Below are 23,868 nucleotides of genomic sequence, written 5' to 3' on the forward strand. Positions count from 1 at the left end.
ATCCCGACCTTGCCTGAGGGACTTCCCCATGTCCTCAAAGGTAGAGAGAATGTATTATTTTTCCCAGCAAACCCTAAAGAAGCTGACACTGCTTCTGCACATATCAGGGGCAGGAGTAACAGAACAAAGTGACTGCCTAATATCTTATTTTTAATCTAGGCAGCCAAGAAAAGCAATCTCACACACACACACACACACACACACACACACACACACACACTTGAATAAGTTTACAAATTCTTGAAATCAAGCAACTCTTCTACTAGGTTCCCTGATACCTATGGTAAGCCTTCTTATACTTACACAGGCCAGCATCTCCTTTCTGGGGTTAAAAAAAGACAGTGGCCCCTTTCCCTAATAAAGGGAGCCAAGGAAATGCACCTGTACTGGAGAATGAATACTCTAATACTTAAGAACCTTTTGGTGAAGGTGAAGGGGGCTTGTTGAAAACATTGCTGTGAGCAGATGGACCCCTGAAACCATCTGCTATGAAGCAACTAAATGTTCAATGATGCATTACAGAATTCTTTAGCTCTCAAACAGCCTGAAAGTAGTTAGTAATGATGGCATCTGTACCGAGAGCAAACAACCTATTTATATATGATCTATTACTTCATAAACTGTTTGGAGACCCTCATTCTTAAAGAGGCAGCAGACTTCTTGATTGAAGGTATAAAATTGTTACTGATAAAATTGTCAATTATAACCTTAAAATTAGCATCTATTTTCCTCCTTTGGATTAAGTAAACTTTTTGCTGAAACTGGTGCTTTTCTCATCCTCCAATAAAAGTGTAACTATCTGTTATGATTTAAATCAAAAAGAAATGAGGAATTTTTATTTCCTAAAATCATATCCACTGGATATTTTAACTTCTATATAAATGTATAATCTTTTTAAAGTTTTTCTATTGTAAAGAGCATATGTCAAATCAGACAAATAAGAACAGAAAAAGGAAAAGTTGTTACTAATTAATGACAACCACTATTAATAACTTCAGTGTATTTTCTTCAGATCTTTTTCCGTACTTAGGTAAAAAACAAACAAACAAATTTAGTTCTATAATCTCTGCAAAAGTGTATGTGTTCTTGTGAAGAATGGCTTTTGTGATATACAACTTGACAGTATATTCCTTTTATTCATAGTCTCCTGGAAATATCTAAAATTCCAACTGGTATATCCATATACTGGAATATTACACAACAATAAAACAGAATGAATGATTAATATACGTAACAATATGGAAGAATCTCAAATGCATTATACTAAGTAAAAGAAGCCAGACCTAAAAACTACATACTGTATGGTTGCATATATATGGCATTCTGGAAAAGGCAAAACTGTAGAATGAAGAGCAGACCGAGTTTCCAGGGCTTACAGGTGAGAAGAGAATTAGACTTGAAAGAGATAGCATGAGGGGTTCCTTCCAGGGTGATGGAATTGTAATCTTGACTGAAGTAGGGGTTACATGGCTTTATGTACATTTAGGAAATGCATAAAACTGCACAGCAAAAAGAATAAATTTCTACTTTTTGTACATTAAAAAAGGGAATTTAAAAAATATTTTTCAAAGGAGTAGAGAGTAAGGAAGTTGTCAGGTCTCAGTTTTACACTGGCTTAAGAAAATGTATTTAGTCATTCGATAATTATTTATTGAGTACTACTGTATTCCAGGCACTGGCAGGCTCTGGGGATAGAGCAGTGAAGAGATGGAACACCTGCATTTGGGAGCTTACAGTCAAGTGGAGGAAGATAGTAAACAAAAATAACTAAGTTATACTAGATTGTGGTAAGTGCCACAGAGAAAAGTAAATCAGAGAAGAGGAATAGAGAGAAGGGCCTCTCAGAGAAGGTCATATTTGAGCAAAGTCTTGAAGGAGATGAGAGGATGGCTATATGGAAGAAGCCAAAGAAAGGCCCTGAGGCCCAGAGGGAAAAATGTGCTTGGTACAATCCGAGAGGGAGAGGAGGGCTGGCTGGTGCAGGGGACCAGAGGGAGAGCAGTGGGAAATGCAATCAGAGGAGCAGGGAGGTGGGTCTTGAGAGAATCCTAAACAGACATAAGGACTTGACTTTACTTGGTGTGAAGAGTGCTACTGGAGGGTTCCAAGTGGAGGAGCAGCATGAGCTTACTCACCTTTATTTAGTTTTTTGACATCAATCTGCTTGCTGTGTGAGAATAGTGTATGGCTCAGGTTCGGGAGAATCATGGAGGGGAACCAACCAGAAGCCTCTCACAATCCAGGATGAGAAGAGGGGAGCCCTGGAGTTGGTGAAGAGTGACTGGATTCCAAATCTGGAAGTAAAAGACAACAGGATTTCATCAAAGAATGAATGTAGAATGTGAGGGGGAGGGAGAATCAAGGAGGATTTGAGGTCTGGGGTTTGATCAACTAGAAAGATGGATTTGCTGTAACTATCATGTGGGAAGACTGTAGGAAGAACAAGTCTAGAAGTCAAAATCATGCATTCAAAAAATAAGTTCATTTTTGAACTTGTTATTGTTTTAAATATGAATTTCCAAGTGGAGATATCTGGTAGACAGTTTGATATACTGAGTTTGGAATTCAGGAGAGATATCCAAGGAGGAGATATAAATTTGAGAGTCATCAATGTGTAGATGGTATTTAACATCATGGGATCCATTTGAGTCATTTCCCAAAGGAGCTGTAGGCCCCATAGGTGTATCCAAATGCTCACACCTTTGTGGAACAGAAGTTAGCTCTAAGCTTCTATGTACTAAGCATGCTTCTCTCCCCCCAAAAATTTCAACAAAAGGCATGAAGTGAGCTTTTGCAAACATTTAACTTGAAAGTCAAAAATCAGCTTGAAATAATAGCAACAGAAACTTCTTCTTTCATATCCTGCTACCTCAGAATTTTATGTTGTAATAATCTCTGTTAAGCATATATCCCATATTAATGGTATCAGCGGCACAGCCATGGCTTTTATAGTGAGGTCACCTAGGAATTTGCAGCATCTAAGTGTTATATGTACACTTTGAAGGGATGTTTGATTTCATTCTTTAAAAATATTACTTTTGGCTATATGTAGAATTATTTAGAAGTAAAACATATATAAATAACTTGGAATATGCATATAAAAATAAACACTGTGACTGTATGTACATTTATACAAATAATACCTATGAAACAGAAAAAATAACTTTTTAGTTCTGAGTCAGTAGTTAGCAAAAATTTTCATATTTAATTTATTTTTATAAAATTAGATATGTTTGTAAAAGCTACTTTTTAAGTGCCTTAGTTTTATGTATATCATCCTAAAATAATACTCTAAAGAGAGTATTAATTTCTACCATAAAAAATACAAAATGCTCTTTGTCGAATCAATCATTTATACTTCTTTCGAGCTTACAAAATTAAAATGATACTTTTTTACACAATTTTACACACTTTTTTACACAATTTGAAACCACTATGCTTTACTGAGATATAACCGAGAAAGTTTTCTCAGCGAAAAGATCATACAGATTTAAACACTGAAGATATTTAAAGCTGGGACAAATTTAAGCTCTCAATTATTCGAGCACATATTTATCTAGCAACATCTGATAATAGTGACACCCAGTTGTCTTGCATTTTGCTTCTTGCCTTTATAAATTTTTGTGGCTGTGGTGGTATGCGGTGGCTCATGCCTGTGATCCCAGCCTGTGGGGGCTAGGTGGGTGGAGCACTTGAGGTCAGGAGTTTGAGAGCAGCCTGGCCAACATGGTAAAACCCTCCAAAATGGAGGGTTGACATTTATGAAATTGTTTAAATCTATCTCTGCCAAAAAATACAAAAATTAGCTGAGCATAGTGGCACGTGCCTATAGTCCCAGCTACTTGGCAGGTTGAGGCAGGAGAATTGCTTGAAGCCCAGAGGCGGAGGTTGCAAAGAAAGTTTTGTGGCTGTGATTTTTTCTCCTTCCTGCTCCTCTGCATTACCAAGTGCAATAAACTTCTCAGGTATTGCAGAGTTGATTCTTAATTTTGATTTTATTAATTTGATTAACACTTAAATTTGATTAAAGTGTTTTCATATAACAAAATATCTTTTCAAACACCTTCAGAAATCTTAAGCAGTCATTTTTTTCTTTTATTAGAAATAAAGAACTTATAAAACCCAATTATTTAATTGAAACTAAAAATGTTTTGTAAGTATAAAAAATTATAAAGCAGCAAAAGTGCTGAAAATACAGAACTGGTCTTGTCTCACTGACCTCAGAATTAAACCCAGAAAATATCAGGTTTTTTTTGTTTGTTTGTTTGTTTGTTGTTTTCTGAGACGGTGTTTTGTTCTTGTTGCTCAGGCTGGTGTGCAATAGCACTATCTTGGCTCACCGCAACCTCTGCCTCCCGGGTTCAAGCGATTCTCCTGCCTCAGCCTTCCAAGTAGCTGGGATTATAGGCATGTGCCACCATGCCGGGCTAATTTTGTATTTTTAGTAGAGATCGTGTTTCTCCATGTTGGTCAGGCTGGTCTCGAACTCCCAACCTCAGGTGATCCTCCTGCCTCGGCCTCCCAAAGTGCTGGGATTACAGGCGTGAGCTACTACGCCCACCCTAGGAAATAGCTTTTAAGTGAAATAAGCACACACTCTCTCTCTCTCTCTCTCAATCTGGTGGCTCTATGTTTTCTGTTTTATTTTGTTTTGTATTATATTACTTCAAAAACAAAGTTCCTGAAATATAGATGATAAATCTGAAGAGAAATTCATGTGTGATACCTCAAACTAGTTCCCCACACTACAGAGTTGAAACACAAGCCCTCCCACCTCCCCGATGCAGGCTACATTCGACTCCACATCTCACCTGCCAATCAATCACCAGTCAATCAAGGAAAGGGGCACAATCAGCAGCTTAATGACAGCCAGATGGCACCTGCCTTTCACGAACTGTGTTCCTAAGTCAGAGTCGGCCTGGGACTAGACTCAGTGTTCTATCCCCACGTAATAATGAGACGTTTTTGTATTCAGTGTAAGCTTTAATGGCTCACACCTCAGACAAGACCCCCCACAGCCCACCCCCTCTATGAAGAGAGTTCTCCCAGCATCCACTGATTTGACATAAACAAAGTTGTTTCTTGTCACTAAAACAAACAACCTCACTTCTTTCCAATCTGACTTCAGAATGATAACGTGTTAACTGGCCCTGCAAAAGAGGAAGGCAAATTTATGGGGTAAATAGCCAACCTGCATTTCCCACAGCTGAGAAGCAGTGCTGACATTTAAATAGGGACTGCTGTGCTCTTCCTCACACGGGTTTACCAGAGCTTTCAACCTTGACCTGAAGAGAACACCTTTTCTGGAAGTGACAGGTAATTTAGCCTTCTTGCTAAGTTCTGGGGCTCTCTGGTGGTGAATTATGTATGGTGCTTCTATGATACAGACACCTGTCCACCGAGAGCCAAACCAAAGCTGATAGATTCCTCTTAAAGACCTTAGATTAGATATAAACTACCTTTTTCCCCCTAGAAAAGTCGTCATGATGTCAATCACCGTTCCTTTCCTTTCCTCCCATGATTTCAAAGATTTGAGAGAGGTCTAAAACAAACTGAGCAATGTTTGCTTTTATAAAACCACTACTAGGACAGCACTCTACTTTCTCTCTTTTTATTTAACTGAAATAGTAAAAAAACTCTTTTAAGCTGTAACAATCAACTTGTGAATTGTTAATTATTGATGTTTGTCTCCCCACCCTGCCCATACTAGGTCTTAAGATAATTCACTAAGCTGTACAAATAAGTGCATTATATTGATTAAATCAGTTTCCAGCAAGATTGTCACCAGTTCAAAAGCAGCTTTTGGACTGAAAACAGCAAAATTATATCACACTATATTCCTTGTGTCTATTATGATTTGAGACAGGTAAATTAAATATTTTGGATCTGGAAAATAGGTAAGGGGTAATATCAGTATCACCACAAAAGTCCTGGTAGATCAAGGACGGACTAGATAAATGGAGGGTTGACACTTATGAAATGGTTTAAATCTATTATTGTGGGTGGTGGGGAGAGTTGAGGGAGTGAATGAGCATTGTGCTGAAAAGGACAGACTTCTCCAGAACAGACTTCCTATGTATGTCCCATTCAGACGGTCCCTGGCCAGCCAGACTTTGGATGAGAGTTAATCTGAAATCCATGGAATCACCTCTGTGCAACTGAAATGGTCCAGGGAATAATTTGATATCCTAGGGAAGGCCCTGTGAAATGTTATTTTTTGTTGTTCACTATTTATAGTGCTGGTGTCAAAAATAGAAACAAAGGCGCCTCCACACAGGAGCAAATCTCCTTCTGAAACAGATGCTTTGGGACTGGAAATTTGTATGAAGCTCTTTCCATGAGCTGTTCAGCTCAGCGCAAACCTTTAGTTTTGTATTCTTTCCGCTGGAATTGAAAAGAAGTCCCAGGCTTCCCTGCAGCTGTGGCTGTTTTCTCACTTCTTGTCCAGTAGAGTCCAGGAAGGGAAATGTGATCACCTATGACTCAAGGGCAGGCAGGTCCATATCCATTAAAGATGGGATGTAAATGGGGAAAAATCTCCTGAGATGAACCCCTCCCACAGACACTGCCCTCCAAGTCTCTTGCTGGAGTGCAGACTGAGAATCTCATTAGGAATCTAATACAATAAAGACATGTAGATGTTAAGGGTGGGGGTGGTGCGGAAATCAAATTAACTTCATTACTTTATTCTGCACCTCACAGCGCTTCTGCCAGTGGACAATTGCATTAGATCAGAGAGGAGATCAAAAGGCAAAAAACTCCCTGGAAATTCATTGTCTGAAGCAAGACTCGAGGGACAGGGAAGAACTCGGGGGAGGAGGCAGGAGTAAATTGGGTTGACCTGAGACATAAATTTACTACATCTGCCCACACTCATGCTAGGCCCTTTTCTTAGCTTTTTCAACTCCCGGGTCGATGTCTTGTTTTATGTTGGCCGTGGGAGATGGAGCAGGGAGGCCTGAGTCGAGAAGAGAGAAAGCAAAGCTCCCATCTTCAGCTTGGCTGTGGAGAATCATTTCAGCTTTGAGAGTTTTGCTTTCAGGCTCTTTAAATTTTAGAGCCCTTAGAATTAAGTAAATACCCAAAAATGTTGCTGAAATGCCACTAGACTTCTGGACCGTAACTGAAACACAGAGGAAGAAATGTTCAGGAAGCAAGAACATAAACATATTTGGTCACAAAACAGGTGGTGTGGGCATTTTTACAAGACAGAAATACAACCAGAGGTGTTATCATTTTTGAAAATTAAACTGGCTAAATATGATTGCAAAATACGGCATACTATGGCTTAATATATACTACATTTATTTAACAACTAGTTAATTGAGTTACTAGGAGTTGGGATGACATGTGCCAGAGTGGAAGTAAGTAATCAAAAAATAAAAACTCAAAACACCAAAACCCCCCAATAATGTGCGTCTTTCATGGGGGTCCAGGAGCCAACTGAAAGAGATCCCAACGGTCAAAGCTGGAACAATTTGAGCAACAAAAACAGTAGTATCAGATTATAACTCAAAGTACAAAATATATATCTCAATTTTCATGAATCCATGCTGATATTAGTTAATTAATTGGGGGAAGTGAGACCAACACTCTGTGTAGCAGAATTCCAAATAATTTATGTAAGGACTTCCTTCATCCTCAAAGAAGAGGAGCATAAACTCCCCATTCTGTAAGTGTGGGCTGCACAGAGTGACTTCCTTCCAAAAAGCACAGTGTGGAAAGTGGGGAAAAAAGACTGATTACACAGTGGAGGAAACTGACAAAAACTACCTCTGCTGGTTGCAACAAAGGTGACAAGTCAAGCTGATATGATGTATCTGATATATGTATACATATATGTATATGTATGTGATGTATATGAGAGAATGTAATAAAAATGCCACTTTACCTCTGTGATTAGCCTCCTAAAAACCCATAGCCCCAGTCAATCATGAGAAAAAAAATTCAGATAATGTCTAATAGATGAGCATTCTACAAAATACCCCACCAGTATTTCTCAAAACTACCAAGGTCAACAAAGACAAGGAAAGTCTGAGAAACTGTGACAGCCAAGAGGAACCTAAGGAGACATGATGAATAAAGGCAATGTGGTGTCCTAGATGGGGTCCTGGGGAGAAAAATGTTATTTGGTTATACTATAGAGGTTTGAGTAAAATATGGACCTTAGCTAATAATAATGTATGCATATTGGTTCATTAAACTGTAACCAATGATTCATACCAATATAAGATATTCATAATAGGGGAAACTGGATGCTTGGATATATGGGAACACTGTACTATCTTCTAAATTTTTCTGTAAATCAAAAGAAGTTCTAAAAGATAAAGTCTGTTAAAATAAGTAAATACTATAGCTCCACTCTCAAAAAACTTCCAATCAAGTGAGAAATAATCTAGAGACCTCTATAATAAATTCCTTTCCCTGTGCTCATCAGGAAATCAAACCACTAGAGGACTGCCACATTGAACCTACTTAATTTAATTTTAAGATTAAAAAATTAAGGAATCACTATTGACATTATTCGAAACTACTAATGTATTGTTTATACTATAATTGCAGAAGAAAAAGTATAGAAAATCCACTAAGGGATTTTTTTTTTTAATCTAGAGATAGACCTTATTTCACTGTGTAATTATTAATTAAACACTCTTCATACAGACCAATAAATGGCCTATATATGTAAAATATATATATTTATTAATATTAAATAAATATACAATCCTGTGGTCACCTACATTTGTCTCTCCCCTTTCCTTTCATACACACATGTAACACTTTATCCCCAGCTCCTTCCCTCAACCTTACCAAGGTAATTGTAGTTGACCCAGTCACCTCCTGGGACAAAGGCCTATCTGGAATTCCATGTTGTTCATTCATCTACAAATCAATAGATACATACTGACAATCAACTTTGTGCAGTAGCTAAGGGCAATGCAAAAGAGAGTAGAACATAACATCAAAAGCTAAAGAAATATGTAAGACAAAACAGGAATTGCGACATGACATTTGTGTGGTTAACTCCAAACCTCCAAATAACTTGTATTAACAGTAAACCCTATCATTTCTGATGACCGTACAGGGATATGTACTACAACTTCTTAAACAAAAGTTTCACTTAAAATATCAAACTTGAGTCAGGCCTTGGAGGAGTGTAGAGACTTGAAGAGAGTGGAGGGTCTCTGTCCAAGAATGGGCAGCTACAGCTGGTGTTGAGGGAAGACTATGGAGGCCACCAAGAATTTTTCGTGATTTTATAGGCAATTACAATTTGTTGGTCAATCGATTACGTATCAACACTATACCATTACTAATTCTTTGGTTGGCTGGGTGTGATGGCTCACGCCTGTAATCCCAGCACTTTGGGAGGCCAAGGCAGGTGGATCACTTGGGTCTAGAAGTTCAAGATCAGCTTGGGAAACATGGCAAAACACTGACTCTACAAAATGCAAAAAAAATTAGCCGGGAGTGGTGGTGCATGCCTGTCATCCCAGCTACTCGGGAGACTGAGGTGGGAGGATTGCTTGGGCCCAGGGAAATTGAGGCTGCAATGAGCATGATTGTACCACTGTACTCCATCCTGGATGATACAGTTGACAGAGACCCTGTCTTAAAATTCTTTGGTTGAGTTATGCATGTATTAAAATTAAATAGATTGTCAGTGACAAATTTCTTTCCCATAGGACAAATTGTGTCATGATTTTGTATGTGTATGTGTATATATATATACATATATATATGCATATTTCTGACCTTTTGTAAACTACACAATTTGGATAATCCAGCTTCAGAAATTATCTATCTATATGTCTATACATACGTCTCTTTCATGGCATCTAGCCATTCCAGAGTTAGCAATCTGATATCAGGATGTCCCTAGGGTATAGGAGACCTGTGACAAATGTTTTTTATGGGGCTCTTGTCTATATAAACAATTGGATTAAAAATTAAATGAGCCCATGTGAGATATAGTGGTATATTAATGAAGATTTAGAATAGATGGGTAGAGAATAGACACATATTTGTTTATTGTTCAATCAGAGCACATGGAAATTCTCTTCATGGATAGGTATCATCAAGCCTGTGTAAGTCCAGGAACCATCTCTTTGTGTTCTTTAACATCAAATGCTCCTTTCTCAGCTAATTTTATGTCTCCCTTCATAAGAAAAAAGTAGAAATGCTACTTTTATGGCTTAAAATGCTATAGCTCTTCAGAATCTGCTTGCACTGAAACAACGTAGATCTTTGTTTCTATAGTTTGTTTGTTGTTTTTTTTTTTTTTTTTTGAGATACCCGTTACCCAGGCTGGAGGGCAGTGGCACGATCTCAGCTCTCTGCAACCTCCATCTCCTGGGTTCAAGAGATTCTCCTGCCTCAGCCTCCCGAGTAGCTGGGATTACAGGCGTGTGCCACCACACCCAGCTAATTTTTGAATTTTTAGTAGAGACATGATTTCGCCATGTTGGCCAGGCTGGTCTTGAACTCCTGACCTCAGGTGATCTGCCTGCCTTGGCCTCCCAAAGTGCTGGGATTACAGATGTGAGCCACCTCACCCGGACTGTTTCTGTAGTTTTCTAATATCATTTAGTCAATGCTCTTTACATCATCCATGGTGCCACTAATGAATGCTGGCTTCACGACTCTCAAAAGTTGTTAACTATGTTTCACTGAGGATGACTGCAAATTCAAGACTTATCCAGAGTATGCAGGGAAATGTAAACAATATTTCATTTTCTGGTCAAATTTACTAATCAGAATTATACACACAAATAAATCTTTCAGCCATGACTTCTCCTGAATCCTGGGCTGTAACTTCTACATTCCTAAAATGTGATCCTTCACTGTTGACCACACCCCTGCCATACAACATCTGCTGGGCGGCCCAAGCAAAGCAGGCACATTCCCATAAGAAATGTCTGTCCTTTGAGAAAAGCTCAGGGAAGGCACTCATGGAGAGCCGCATCAGGAGCATCTGTTGACTCAGCTGGAGGAGCCTGTTGATCTGGTGGAGCAGTGGCCATCCCAGGGTTCCCTGGCATCTGCGGAGAGGGTGAGTGACCACCTTAGGTGCCAGCACTAGGGCACACAGAGGTAAGGGACAAGGAAGCCTGCTGCCCTTGGAAGCAGCACTGTGGTTGGAAGAGAGGCACGGCTCTAACAGAGAGAACTGGGTTGTAGTCCAGACACCTTAATTCTTCCATGTGCCTGACATGACTGGGAGTCACCCAAAATTAGCACGTGGGCACCACTCTGGGTGCCAGTCTCTGCAGCATCCTCTTGACCTGGCAGGGTGGGGGGGTCAGAGAGCCTCCAAAAAAGGCAGAAACAGGAACCCTGGGTGCCCTGCTTGGTTCCAGACAATAGGATAGACCTCCAACATTTTGAGGAGAGGTCACCAAAATGGGTGGAGGAATGGGGGTTATGGATGTTGAGTCAGAGCAGGGTCCTCCTGCTTGGATCTAAGGACAGTATGCATGAAATGTGCAACAGTCTTTTTAAAAAGTGTTTTGTTTGTTTGTTTGTTTGAGACAGAGTCTTGCTCTATTGCCCAGGCTGGAGTGCAGTGTCGTGATCTTGGCTCACTGCGAACTCCACCTCCCAGGTTCATGCCATTCTCCTGCCTCAGCCTCCCAAGTAGCTGGGACTACAGGCACCCGCCACTGCGCCTGGCTAATTTTTTTGTATTTTTAGTAGAGACAAAGTTTCACCATGTTAACCAGGATGGTCTCGATCTCCTGACCTCGTGATCCGCCTGCCTTGGTCTCCCAAAGTGCTGGGATTACAGGCGTGAGCCACCGCGCCCGGACTAAAAAAGTGGTTTAAAAACAACAACAACAACAACAAAAGTATGCTGTTGACTTATGGATTGTATAGTGGATTTTATGCATCCTGCTTCCATTCTGTATGAAGATGTTATTTAAAATAGGACTCATTTTTGTTGGGTTTCACAGAAACATTGGAATTAAGGCAGAAATTAGTGGCTAATGTGAAAACAATATGTGGAGTTTGTGGTGAAGGGCATACAGGAACTTCTGGATGTGAATAAGGTTGTATGTTGCCCTGGTTGCTGTCAATAGCCGCCTTGACTGCAGGATGGAAACCACCTGAAGATGAGGCCCACACACTAAGGAGAGCAGAGCTCAGAAAACCCCAGAATCAGGAGCTGGGTTCCGGATCACACGGAATCTGAGGTTTAACTTACCTGTGGACCTTTGAATTATGTGAACTGCTGGACCATATTTTATTCTTAAGCTATCTTGAGATGGATTTTTAAAAAAAATATTACTTAGTATCACAAAGATTAGGATTGGTAAAATTAGGATTGGTAAAAGCATTCATTGCCTACAAAACCAGCCTCAGTTGGAATTCTCATCCTTAAGCTGTTTTGAGATGAATTAAAAAAAAAAATACTAGGCCAGGCATGGTGGCTCACACCTGTAATCCCAGCACTTTGGGAGGCTGAGGCAAGTAGATCACTTGAGGTCAGGAGTTCAAGACCAGCCTGGCCAACTTGGTGAAACCCTGTGTCTACTAAAAATACAAAAATTAGGTGGGTGTGGTGGCAGTTGCCTGTAATCCCAGCTACTCGGGAGGCTGAGGCAGGAGAATCACTTGAACCCGGGAGGCAGAGGTTGCAATGAGCCGAGATTGTGCCACTACAGTCCAGCCTGGGCAACAGAGCGAGACTCTGTCTCAAAAAAAAAAAAAAAATTACTTAGAATCATAAAGATTAGGATTGGTAAAATTAGGATTGGTAAAAGCATTCTTTGCCTACAAAACCAGCCTTAGTTGGAATTCTCATCCTAAGAAGAACATAACAATAACTGGAAGGTAGACACATGGTCTATAAAAACTCTGAACACTAGGAAGAGCCTCTGAGGGTCCTTTACATGGTAATTCTTATATAACCGGAAGGAAATAAGTAATATTATTCTGAATAGCCTTGTACCTTTATCAAAGTGCCATCAGCCTTCATTAATTAACTTCTTTCCATGTCATTTCCATCCTTCCTATCTCTAGAACTCATTGACTCTATCATATTTGGAAATGTGATTAAACATTACCTTTTCTTTTTCTCATATTGCTCTAAATGTATTTGTATTTTCTCTCTAAATAGATTATATGCTTCTTGATATCAAGGTCTGTGGCAGGGAGCTTTTAAGGGCGCCCTCACTGAGCTACCTCATGGTACTCATACCCTTGTGTAATCCTCTCCCCTTGAATGTGGGCTGGTCTAGTGACTTGCTTTTAACAAATAGAATATAGCAAAAGTGATGGAATGGCACTTCTGCCATTAGGTCATAAAACACTTTGAGTTCTGTCTTGCTGGACTCTTGCTCTACAAAGTGAGAAAATTCCAAGCTGTAAAATATAATGTGAAGGGAAGCATTAAAAATAAGCAATGTACTGGCTTCTAAACCATAATAAAATATGACTGACAAGAATGTCTGTTTGGCTGTCCTTCCATCCTCTTTTAGTCTGCAAGTGAAAAGATCACCTCAACAGCATAAGCCAGCATCTACATTTTATCATACTTTAAGATTGCCCCTTAGGGCAGACTGAGTGAAAAGCACACATTTCCCAGTGTTTCCTTCTATCATCTTCATTTGTTTGCCTACCCCTTCCCCCAAAGCATTTGTGTCACTCTCTTCCCACATTTGGACGTTCTTAGCTTCTGAACTGAACTTCTGAAAGAGTTTAAAGGGGAGATGATCTGACAAGGAGATTTGCTTGTCTTAAAGCCCGGCTGTGCCTGCCTTTAATTAAAAATGGTATTGATTTTTCTCTGCTCTAATGATAGGCACTAGTCTGCCCTCCCCATGTTCGTAAGTGACAGTTTAAGTATGAAACAAAGGGCATTTATTCAGCACTTAATGCAAAATTATGACTGATTAAAAAGTGATTTATCATGAGAACTACATCTGCAGAGGCTTTTTTTTTTTAAATGCTCATTCTAACCAGAGTTTGGAAAGTATAGCAGGATGATTGGAACAATTCTCAACTTCCCTAATTCAGTTCTCCTTCCCTGGTTTCAGCACGAAACAAAAAATAAATTTTCCACTGAATTCAGGACCAAAAAGCATGGGAGGAAAAGTAATTCAGAATTCTAGAAGTCAGACTTGTAGCATATCCTAGGTAAGTTGCCAAGTTGCCGATTGGTAAGCTGCCAAGTTGCCTTCAGGTAGCAAAACACTGAGTCAGAACTTTTCCAGGACTACATTCTTCTGACACCTGACTCTTTCTCCTTTCCTACTTCCCATAGTGTTTAACACAGTGGAAAATGACCTGACATCTTGGATGAGAAAGCACTGCTAGAACATTTGAAAGGAAGATATGACAGCAAGAAAAGGAAGTTATGATTAGGTAATGCAGTCAACTTTTATTAAACCTTTGAATTTAGGTCTTTTTTCAGTCTTGAGTAGGCCCAGTCTCCCTTCTTTCTTGAGAGCAATGAGTAGCTTCCATGTCTTTTTTGGTTAAGAACACAAGCTCTGAAGCCCGCTCTTATGGTACAAATCTCATCGCTGTTGCATACGAGCTGTGTGGCCTTGAGCATGCTATTTAATCTTCCCATGACTCAGCTTCTTTACCTCTAAAATGAGGTTAATAATCTCACCACCATGTAGGGTTAATGGGAGTATTAAAACAATTAGAATGGTGTCTAATGCTTAATAAACACCTCAAAAATATTACTAGATTTCATCAAATGTAAGATGCCATCATAAATTACATCTTGATTTCAGAGATATTAACCATAAATAAAAGACACCTCTTAGAATTAGTAGGATACTATAGGTGGCTATTGTTGATAATGCCTACTTATTTATAACTATGAACTCTGACCAGAAAATGAAATGATACTCAAGGCTGAGGATTTTCATAAATATCAATACTAAAATAGGAGGGGTTGGCATGTTTCACACTTGTCTCTGCTGCCTCTTTTTATTCGCAGGTGGAGTGGGATAGTACAGACTCATGGATTTTGGTATTAGAAAGTCCTGGCTTTCTAATCCAGCTCTGTTACCTCCTAGGTTTCTAATCAAGTTACATCCCCTTGAAAGTCTCAGATGGAAATGGCAATGCCCATGTCACAATGATCTGGGTAACCCCTCAAGCAAACAAGCTTGGCATGAAGGTCAAGCCAAGCAGGGACACAGACACGCAAACACACACACATGCATCAAAGTAATCAATGCAGGTAAAATGAGAACATTATTGAACTATATCATACTTTACCGTTCAGAATTAACAACAACAAAAAAAACACATAAACTGGTTTCTGCTTCTGCTGATAAGGAGTTTGGAAGTTTCCAGTCTGTTCTAACAATGAGAACAAAGCTAAAAAGACTGAAAAATCAACTCTTTTTGGATTCAAAAGAGAAGTAAGAGCACAGGGCAAACTTCTACCCCCAAGATTGGAGAGAAAGACAGTGAATACAGGGAGACATGGGGTACTGGGGCAGAGACTCAAAAGTAGAAACTGCCCAGGGAATCAATGCTGGGGAAGAACAACAACAAAACCCTGAACTCTGATTGATGAACTGCTGGAGGCTCCATATGGAGAGTCTAAGAGTTAAAAATTCCAGGGGACTCAGTCACAGGGAGACCTCTACATTTTGTGAGTTTTACCATTAGGAGTTCATCTAGGTTTTCAGAGTAAATATCACAGAAAAATCTCCTCATGCTTCCAGCAGTGGGAGGGGAAAAGAAATCATTTTGAAATACATCAGAGCATTGTGTGCTGCCTAAAAAGGCCTAGCTTCAAGAGAAATTATTTCACTAGAGTATAACCTCCTGGGGTTTTATCAGAGCCTAACTGTCCTAGGGGAAGGGAAATACCCAACTCCAGCCAGCTGCAGCCTTCTACATGGGAGAAAGGAAATACCCAACTCCAGTTCCCTCTAACCATCCTTGTCCCACCTAAATGGGGGGTAAAGTGGTACTGAGAAACACTTGTGAAGTTCACAGTCAGAGGCACAGGCTCACTTAAAGACAGACCTAATCACAGGACTACAGAATGCTTCCCTTCCCCCACACCTTACCACCATGCCTCTAAAGGCCTATTTTAACTGTTCTTTTTTTCTTTTCTTTTCTTTTCTTTTCTTTTCTTTTCTTTTCTTTTCTTTCTTTATTCTCTTCTCTTCTCTTTTCTTTCTTTTTGGACAGAGTCTTGCTCTGGAGTGCAATAGTGCAGTGGCGTGATCTTTGTTCACTGAAACCTCTGCCTCCAGGGTTCAAGCAATTCTGTCTCAGCCTCCCGAGTAGCTGGGAATACAGGCACAGGCTGCCATGCCTGGCTAATTTTTTGTATTTTAGTAGAGATGGGGTTTCACCATGTTGCCCAGGCTGCTCTCGAACTCCTGAGCTCAGACAATCCACCCACCTCGGCCTCCCAAAGTGCTGGGATTACAGGTGTGAACCACTGTGCCTGGCCTCAACAGTTCCTTTTACCTGGCACATCATGTCCAGCTATCAAGAAAAAATTACAAAGCACACTAAAAGGTTACAAAAAAAAAAGAAAGAGAAACCCACTATTTGCAGATAGAGCATGCATCAGAACTCAGACATGGCAGGGATGTTGAATTATCAGACTGAGAATTTGGAATAACTATGAGCAATATGCTAAAAGCTCTAATGGCTGAAGTAGACAGCATGCAAGAGCAGATAGGCAATGTAAGTGGAGAGATGAAAATCCTAAAAAGGAAGCAAAAGAAATGCTAGATATAGAAAACACTATAACAGAAATGAAGAATGCCTTTGATGGGCTTATTAGTAGACTGAACACAACTGAGGCTGAAAGAGTCTCTGAGCTTGAAAATATGTCAATAGAAACATCTAAAACTAAAAAGCAAAGAGAACAAAGACTGATAAAAAAGAACAGAATGTCCGGCCGGGCACAGTGGCTCACGCCTGTAATCCCAGCACTTTGGGAGGCCAAGGCTGGCGGATCATGGTCAGGAGATTGAGACCATCCTGGCTAACATGGTGAAACCCCGTCTCTACTAAAAAAATACAAAAAATTAGCCAGGCGTGGTGGTGGGCGCCTGTAGTCCCAGCTACTTGGAGACTGAGGCAGGAGAATGGTGTGAACCTGGGAGGCAGAGCTTGCAGTAAGCCAAGATGTGCCACTGCACTCCAGCCTGGGCGACAGAGCGAGACTCCGTCTCAAAAAATAAAAACAAATAAAGAATGTCCAAGGGCTGTGGGAAAACTACAGAAGGCATCAATATGTTTAATGAGAGTTCCAAAAGGACAAGAAAGAAAGGAGAGAAGAAATATTTGAAATAATAATGATACAATTTCCAGAAATTAATGTCAGACACCAAAACACAGATCCAGGAAGTTCAGTGAACACTAAACAGGATGAGTGCAAAACACAAACAAAACAAATGCTACACCTGAGTGTATCATTTTCAAACTACAGAAAATCAAATAAATCCTGAAAAAAGCCAGAGGGAAAATACACCTTCTACATAGAAGAACAAAGATGAGAATTACACCTGACTTCTCAGAATCCAGGCAAGCAAAAAGAAAGTGAAGTAAAATATTTAAAGTGTTGAGGGGAAAAAAACCCACCAACAGAATTCTGTACCCTGTGAAATTATCCTTCAAAACTAAAGGAAAAGTACAAACTTTCTCAGATAAACTAAATCAAGGGAATTTGCTACCAGTAGACCCACCTGGCAAGAAATATTAAAAGAAGTTTATCAGAAAGAAGAAAAATAATATAGATCAGAAACTCAGATCTACATAGAGAAAGGAAGAGCATCAAAAAATAAATAAGTGAAGGTAAACTAAGAACTTTTATCTTTCTTATTCTTAGTTGATCTAGCCTATAATAGTTCAAAATTATAGCAACAATGTATTCAATTATACAATTATCTTATGTGTATATATGTGTTTAGAATGCTTACATACAAGAAATGAATAGCAGTAATGGGACAAAAAATAAAAGTTATTTTATTTTGCAAACTCTAGGACATCCACTAAAAGAAGTTCAAAAGAAGTATAATGTATATGCTAAGAAAGGAGATAAAATGTAATCATATAAAATGATAAATTTAAACCACAAAAATCAAAGAAAGAGTGGAAGACAAAATTAGAAACAGAGGACAAGGTAGCAAATAGAAAACAGTAACAAATATGGTAAATGTTAATCCAACTATATAAATAATCACATTGGATATCAGTGATCTAAATATACTAATTAAAAGACTAGAGCTTGTCATATGGATCAAACAACAAGACCTAACTATATGTTGTCTATAAGAACCCACTTTAATATAAAGACAAATATTAGATTAAAAGTAAATGGATGGAGAAAAATATACCAGGCTAACACTAATCAAAAGAAAGCAGTAGTAGATATACAGTCATGTGCCACCTGGTGACATTTTGGTCAATGATGAACCACATATACAACAGTAGCCTCATAAGATTATAATACCTTGTATTTACTGTACCTTTTCTATGTTTAGATACACAAATACCATTTTGTTATAACTGCCCACAATATTTAGTATGTGAACATGCTGTACAGGTTTATAGCCTGAGAGCAATAGACCATACCATCTAGGTTTGTGTACACCCTGTGATATTTGCACAATGATAAAATTGCCTAATGATGCATTTTTTGAAACATTTTTTCCATCATTAAGTGACACATGACTGTAATAATTTTTGACAGAGCAGGCTTCAAAGCAAGAGAAGTTATCAGAGATAAGGAGGGGCATTACATAAAGGCAAAACAGTCAATTCTCCAAGATGTTACAATCTTTAACGCGTATCTGCCTAACGCATTTCGAGCATCAAACTATATGAGGCAAAAACTGATAGGACAGCAAGGAGAAATCAATGGATTCACTATTATAGTTCAAGACTTTAATATCCCTCTATCAAAAATACCTCCAGCAGGCAGAAAATTAGTAAGGATATAGTTGAACTCAACATCACCATCAATCAACTGAATATAATTGATATCTATAGACTATTTCATCCAACAACAGCAGAATACACATCCTTCTGAAGCTCACATGAAGCATTCACCAAGATACCTTAACAAATTTAAAAGAATAGAAACCATACAATGTCTGTCTCAGACCATAATGGAATTGAACTAGAAATCAATGTTAACTGGAAAATCCTAAAATATGTGGAAACTAAACAGCACATTTATAAATAACACATGGGTCGAAAAAGAAATCTCAAGAGAAATTTAAAACTATTTTAAACTACATGAAAATGAAAATACAGCTTAGCAAAAGTTGTAGAATGCACCAAAGCAGTGCCTAGGGGCAAATGTATAGCACTAAATGCATATAGTACAAAATAAGAAAGATCTAAAATTAATAATAAAAGCTTCCACCTTAGAAAACTAGAAAAAGAAGAGCAAATTAATGCCAAAGGAAGCAAAAGAAAAGAAGTAATAAAAATTAGGACAGAAAACAATAAAATTTAAAAATAGGAAATCAATAGAGAAAATCAGCAAAACCAAAAGCTGGTACTTTGAAAAGATTGGTAAAGTTGATAAGCTTCTAGGCAGGCTGATTAAACAAAAACGAGGGAGAGAGAAGACACAAATTACTAATGTCAGAAGTGAAAGAGACAGAACATCACTATAGATCCTATGTATATTAAAAGGGTAATAAATATTATGAGCAACTAGATGCCCACAAATTTAATATGAAGCAATTCCTCGAAACACACAATCTGCTAAAATTCACACTAAAAGAAATAGATCATCTAAATACACATATATCTATTTTTAAAATTGAATCAATAATTAATAAGCTTCCAAAACAGAAAGCACCAGGCCCAGATGGAGTCAGTGGTGAATTCTACCAAACATTTAAGGAAGAATTTCTATCAATTCTGTACATTTTCCTTCAGAAGATAGCAGAATATTCTCTAACTCTCTGATACGGTTTGGCTGTGTTTCCCCACCCAAATTTCATCTCGAATTGTTATCCCCACATGCTGAGAGAGGGACCTGGTGGGAAATGATTGGATCATGGGGACAGTTTCCCCCATGCTGTTCTCATGATAGAGAGTTCTCACGAGACCTTATGGTTTAAAAGTCGCAGTTTCCCCTGCTTTCTCTCTCTCTGTCTTGCTGCCATGTAAGATGTGCCTTGCTTCCCCTTTGCCTTTCACCATGATTGTAAGTTTTCTGAGACCTCCCAGCCATGCAGAACTGTGAGTCAATTAAAACTCTTTCCTTTATAAATTACCCAGTCTTGGGTATTTCTTAGTAGCCATGAAAAAAGTGGACTAATACACTCTCTATGATGCTGGCATTGTCTTACTATCAAAATAAGACAAAGACATTACAAGAAAAGAAAAATACAGACCAATATCTCTCATGAATGTAGATGCAAATATCCTCAACAAAATCTTAGCAAATCAAATACATCAATGTATAAAATGAATTATACACCACCACCAAGTTGGATTTATTGTAGGTGTGCAAGTCTGGCTCAACATTCAAAAATCAATTAATATAAGCCATTACATCAACAGGCTAATGAAGAAAAATCACATGATCATATTAATAAATGAAGAGAAACATTTGATAAAATTCAACACCTACTCATGATTTAAAAAAAAACCTCTTAACTAGAAACAGAGGGGCACTTCCTGAACTTATTAAAGAATAGCTATATATAAAAAAAAAAACCTACGATGCCCAGGCACTGTGGCTCACACCTCTAATCCCAGCACTTTGCGAGGCCAAGGCGGGTGGATCACCTGAGGTCAAGAGTTCAAGACCAGCCTTGCCAACATGGTGAAACCCCATCTCTACTAAAAATACAAAAATTAGCCAGATATGATGGCACATGCCTGTAGCTACTCAGGAGGCTGAGCCAGGAGAATCACTTGAACCCAGGAGGCGGAGGTTGCAGTGAGCCGAGATCATGCCACTGCACTCCAGCCTGGGTGACAAGAGGGAGACTCTGTTTCAAAAAAAAAAAAAAAAACAGCAACAACAGCAACAACAAAAACCCTATGGCTATCATCATATTTAATGGTGAAAAACTAGAAGCTTTTCCACTAAGATTAGGAACAAAGCAATAATATCCTCTCCCCCTAGTCTTTTTCAACGTTGTACTAGTTAATGCAATAGGACAATAAAAGGGAATAAAATGTATACAGGTTTTGAAGGAAGAAATAAAACAGTCTTTGTTCATAGAAGACATGATTATCTATCTAGAAAGTCAAAAATATCAACAAAAAAAGTTCTGAAAGTAATAAATCATTATAGCAAGGTTGGGGAATACAAGATTACTATAGAAAAGTCAATCACTTTCCCATGTATAAATAGTGAACAATTGGAATTTAAAATTCAAAACACAATACCATTTACATTAGCATCCCAAGAAATGAAATACTTAGTTATAAATCTAACAAAATATGTACAAGATGTACATGAGGAAAACAACAAATTCTGATGAAAAAATAAGAAAACTAAATAAATGGAGAGATATTGAAGCAAGAGGAACTCTCATTTACTGCTGGTAAGAATGCAAAATGGTACAGACACTTTGGAAGACAGTTTGGCAAATTCTTACAAAACTAAACACACCCTTAGCATACAATCCAGCAATCATGCTTCTTAGTATTTCCCCCAAAGAAATAAAAAATTTAGAGCCACACAAAAACCTGCAAATGGATGTTTAAGGCAGCTTTATTCATAATGGCCAAAACTTGGAAGCAACTAAGATGTTTTCAGTAGATAAATGGATAAATAGAGTGTGGTACATCAGACAAAGGAATATTATTCAGTGCTAAAAATAAAAGAGCTCTTTATTTGCCTGTTGGGGCTGTGTGATATTGTAAAATGTCACATAGCATCTGGTCTTCGTCCAGTTTCCTGGCACAGAGTTCCTAAAACTCCTGGAATCTCCAGAGTTATAAGAGTATGGTTTTGTTTGTTTGTTTGTTTGTTTGTTTTTCAGATGGAGTCTCACTCTGTCGCCAGGCTGGAGTGGAGTGGTGCGATCTCGGCTCACTGCAACCTTCGCCTCCCAGGTTCAAGTGATTCTCCTGCCTCAGCCTCTCGAGTAGCTGGGACTACAAGTGTGCACCACCACTCCCAGCTAATTTTTGTATTTTTAGTAGAGACAGGGTTTCACCACATTGACCAGGATGGTCTCAATCTCTTGACCTTGTGATCTGCCCACCTCGGCCTCCCAAAGTGCTGGGATTACAGGCATGAGCCACTGCGTCCGGCCAAAAGTATGTTTTATATGCTAATAAGATAATTGGTGACTGGTGGCCTGTAGATAGCTTCAGGAAGGGGGATGTTTTCCAGAAAGCCCAAGGCATGAGTAGAAGGCTAGGACTTTCAGTTCAATCCCCCAACCTCTGGGGAGTGAAAAGGGACTAAAAATTGAGTTGATGATCAATGGCTAATGATGTAATAAATTATGCCTACATAATGAAGCTTCCATAAAAAACCAAAAGGGCTGGGCTCAGGAAGCTTCTGGATTGCTGAACACATGGAGCTGGAGGCTGGCATACACTGAGAGGACATGGAAGCTCTACACCCCTTGCCACGTGCCTTGCCCTGTCCATCCAGCTGTTCATCAGTATCCTTTATCATATTATTTATTCATAAACTGCTAAATGTAAGTGAAGTGTTTCCCCAAGTTCTATGAGCTGTCCTAGCATATTAATAAAAACTGAGGAAGATGCCACGGGAACCTCCAATTTAGAGCCAGGCTGGTGAGTCAGAAGTATAGATGACAACCTACTACTTGCAACTGGCTTCTGAATAGGAGGCAGTGTTGTGGGACTGAGCCCTTAACCTGTAGGATCTGACACTATCTCCAGGTAGACAGTATCAGAATTAGAGGACACCCTGATAGTGTATGCTGGAGACGTGATTGCTTGGTGTGTGGGTACAACCCCATACACATCTGGTGTCAAAAGCGTTGTGTTAACTGATGTGTAAGAGTGAGAAAAATACACCTTGGTTTCTCTCTATTTCTCTAAGAGGCAGCTGTAATAAGTACCATAGACTGGGTAGCTAAAACAGTGGACATTTATTTCTTACAGTTCTGGAGGCTGAGAAGTCCAAATCAAGGTGCCTGCCAAACTGGTTTCTGCCAAGGGCTCTCTTCATACCTGCAGATGACCTGCTTTTTGCTACGTCCTCACATAGCACAGGAAGTCATCTCTCTTGCTTTCTCTTTTTCCCACCAATCCCATCATAAAGGCCCTACCCTCATGAGCTCATCTAACCCTAATTGCCTCCCGAAGACCTGATCTTCAAACACCATCACATTGGGAGTTAGGGCTTCAATACATAAGTTTTTAGAGGACACAATTCAGTTCATACATAGCAGGCTGTAACATTAAGAGGTTGGGGAAAAGAGGAAACTGGGGGAAAAAAGAGACTGCCAAAGAGAAATATGCAGGATCAACCAGTAAAATAGGTGGAAAACCAAGAGAGTGGTGTCCTAGAGGCTAAATTTACAAAGAATATTAAGGAAGAAAATGTGATAAAATTTATTCAAATGCTTCTGGGAAAGTCAAATAATAAGAAAATGACCATTAAATTAGGGACATGGGGATTATTGGTGAGATTTACAAGAGAATTTTGGTGCAATTTTGGGGTGAAAGCCTGATTAGAGTAAGTTTGAGAGAGAATGGGAATATGGTAACAAGCTGATTTGGAATCCCCTTGAATTTCTCTACAAAACAAATAGATCAACTACGATTGTAAAACAAAAATCCACAGAGAACATCTACAGCAACACTGGATGACAAGGTATCTCCAGGAACTCCAAAACATCAAAATGTGTAGGGACAAAAAATTAAGAGCTAAGAAACTCACATGGTATTATGATATCATACAGGAGATGT

The 23,868-nt window shown here is 38.9% G+C and overlaps 1 long non-coding RNA gene across 1 annotated transcript in view; it reads right to left on the reverse strand.

Moving 5' to 3' along the window:
• Positions 1-23,868, reverse strand: part of LOC105372922 (uncharacterized) — a 132,858-nt gene that overhangs the window by 23,859 nt on the left and 85,131 nt on the right. Inside the window, exon 5 of the long non-coding RNA XR_001738466.2 lies at positions 2,136-2,294. This is a non-coding gene — a long non-coding RNA (uncharacterized LOC105372922). The remainder of the gene's footprint in view (positions 1-2,135; positions 2,295-23,868) is intronic.

This window comes from Homo sapiens, chromosome 1 (assembly GCF_000001405.40).
Source record: "Homo sapiens chromosome 1, GRCh38.p14 Primary Assembly".
Taxonomy (NCBI): Eukaryota; Metazoa; Chordata; class Mammalia; order Primates; family Hominidae; genus Homo; species Homo sapiens.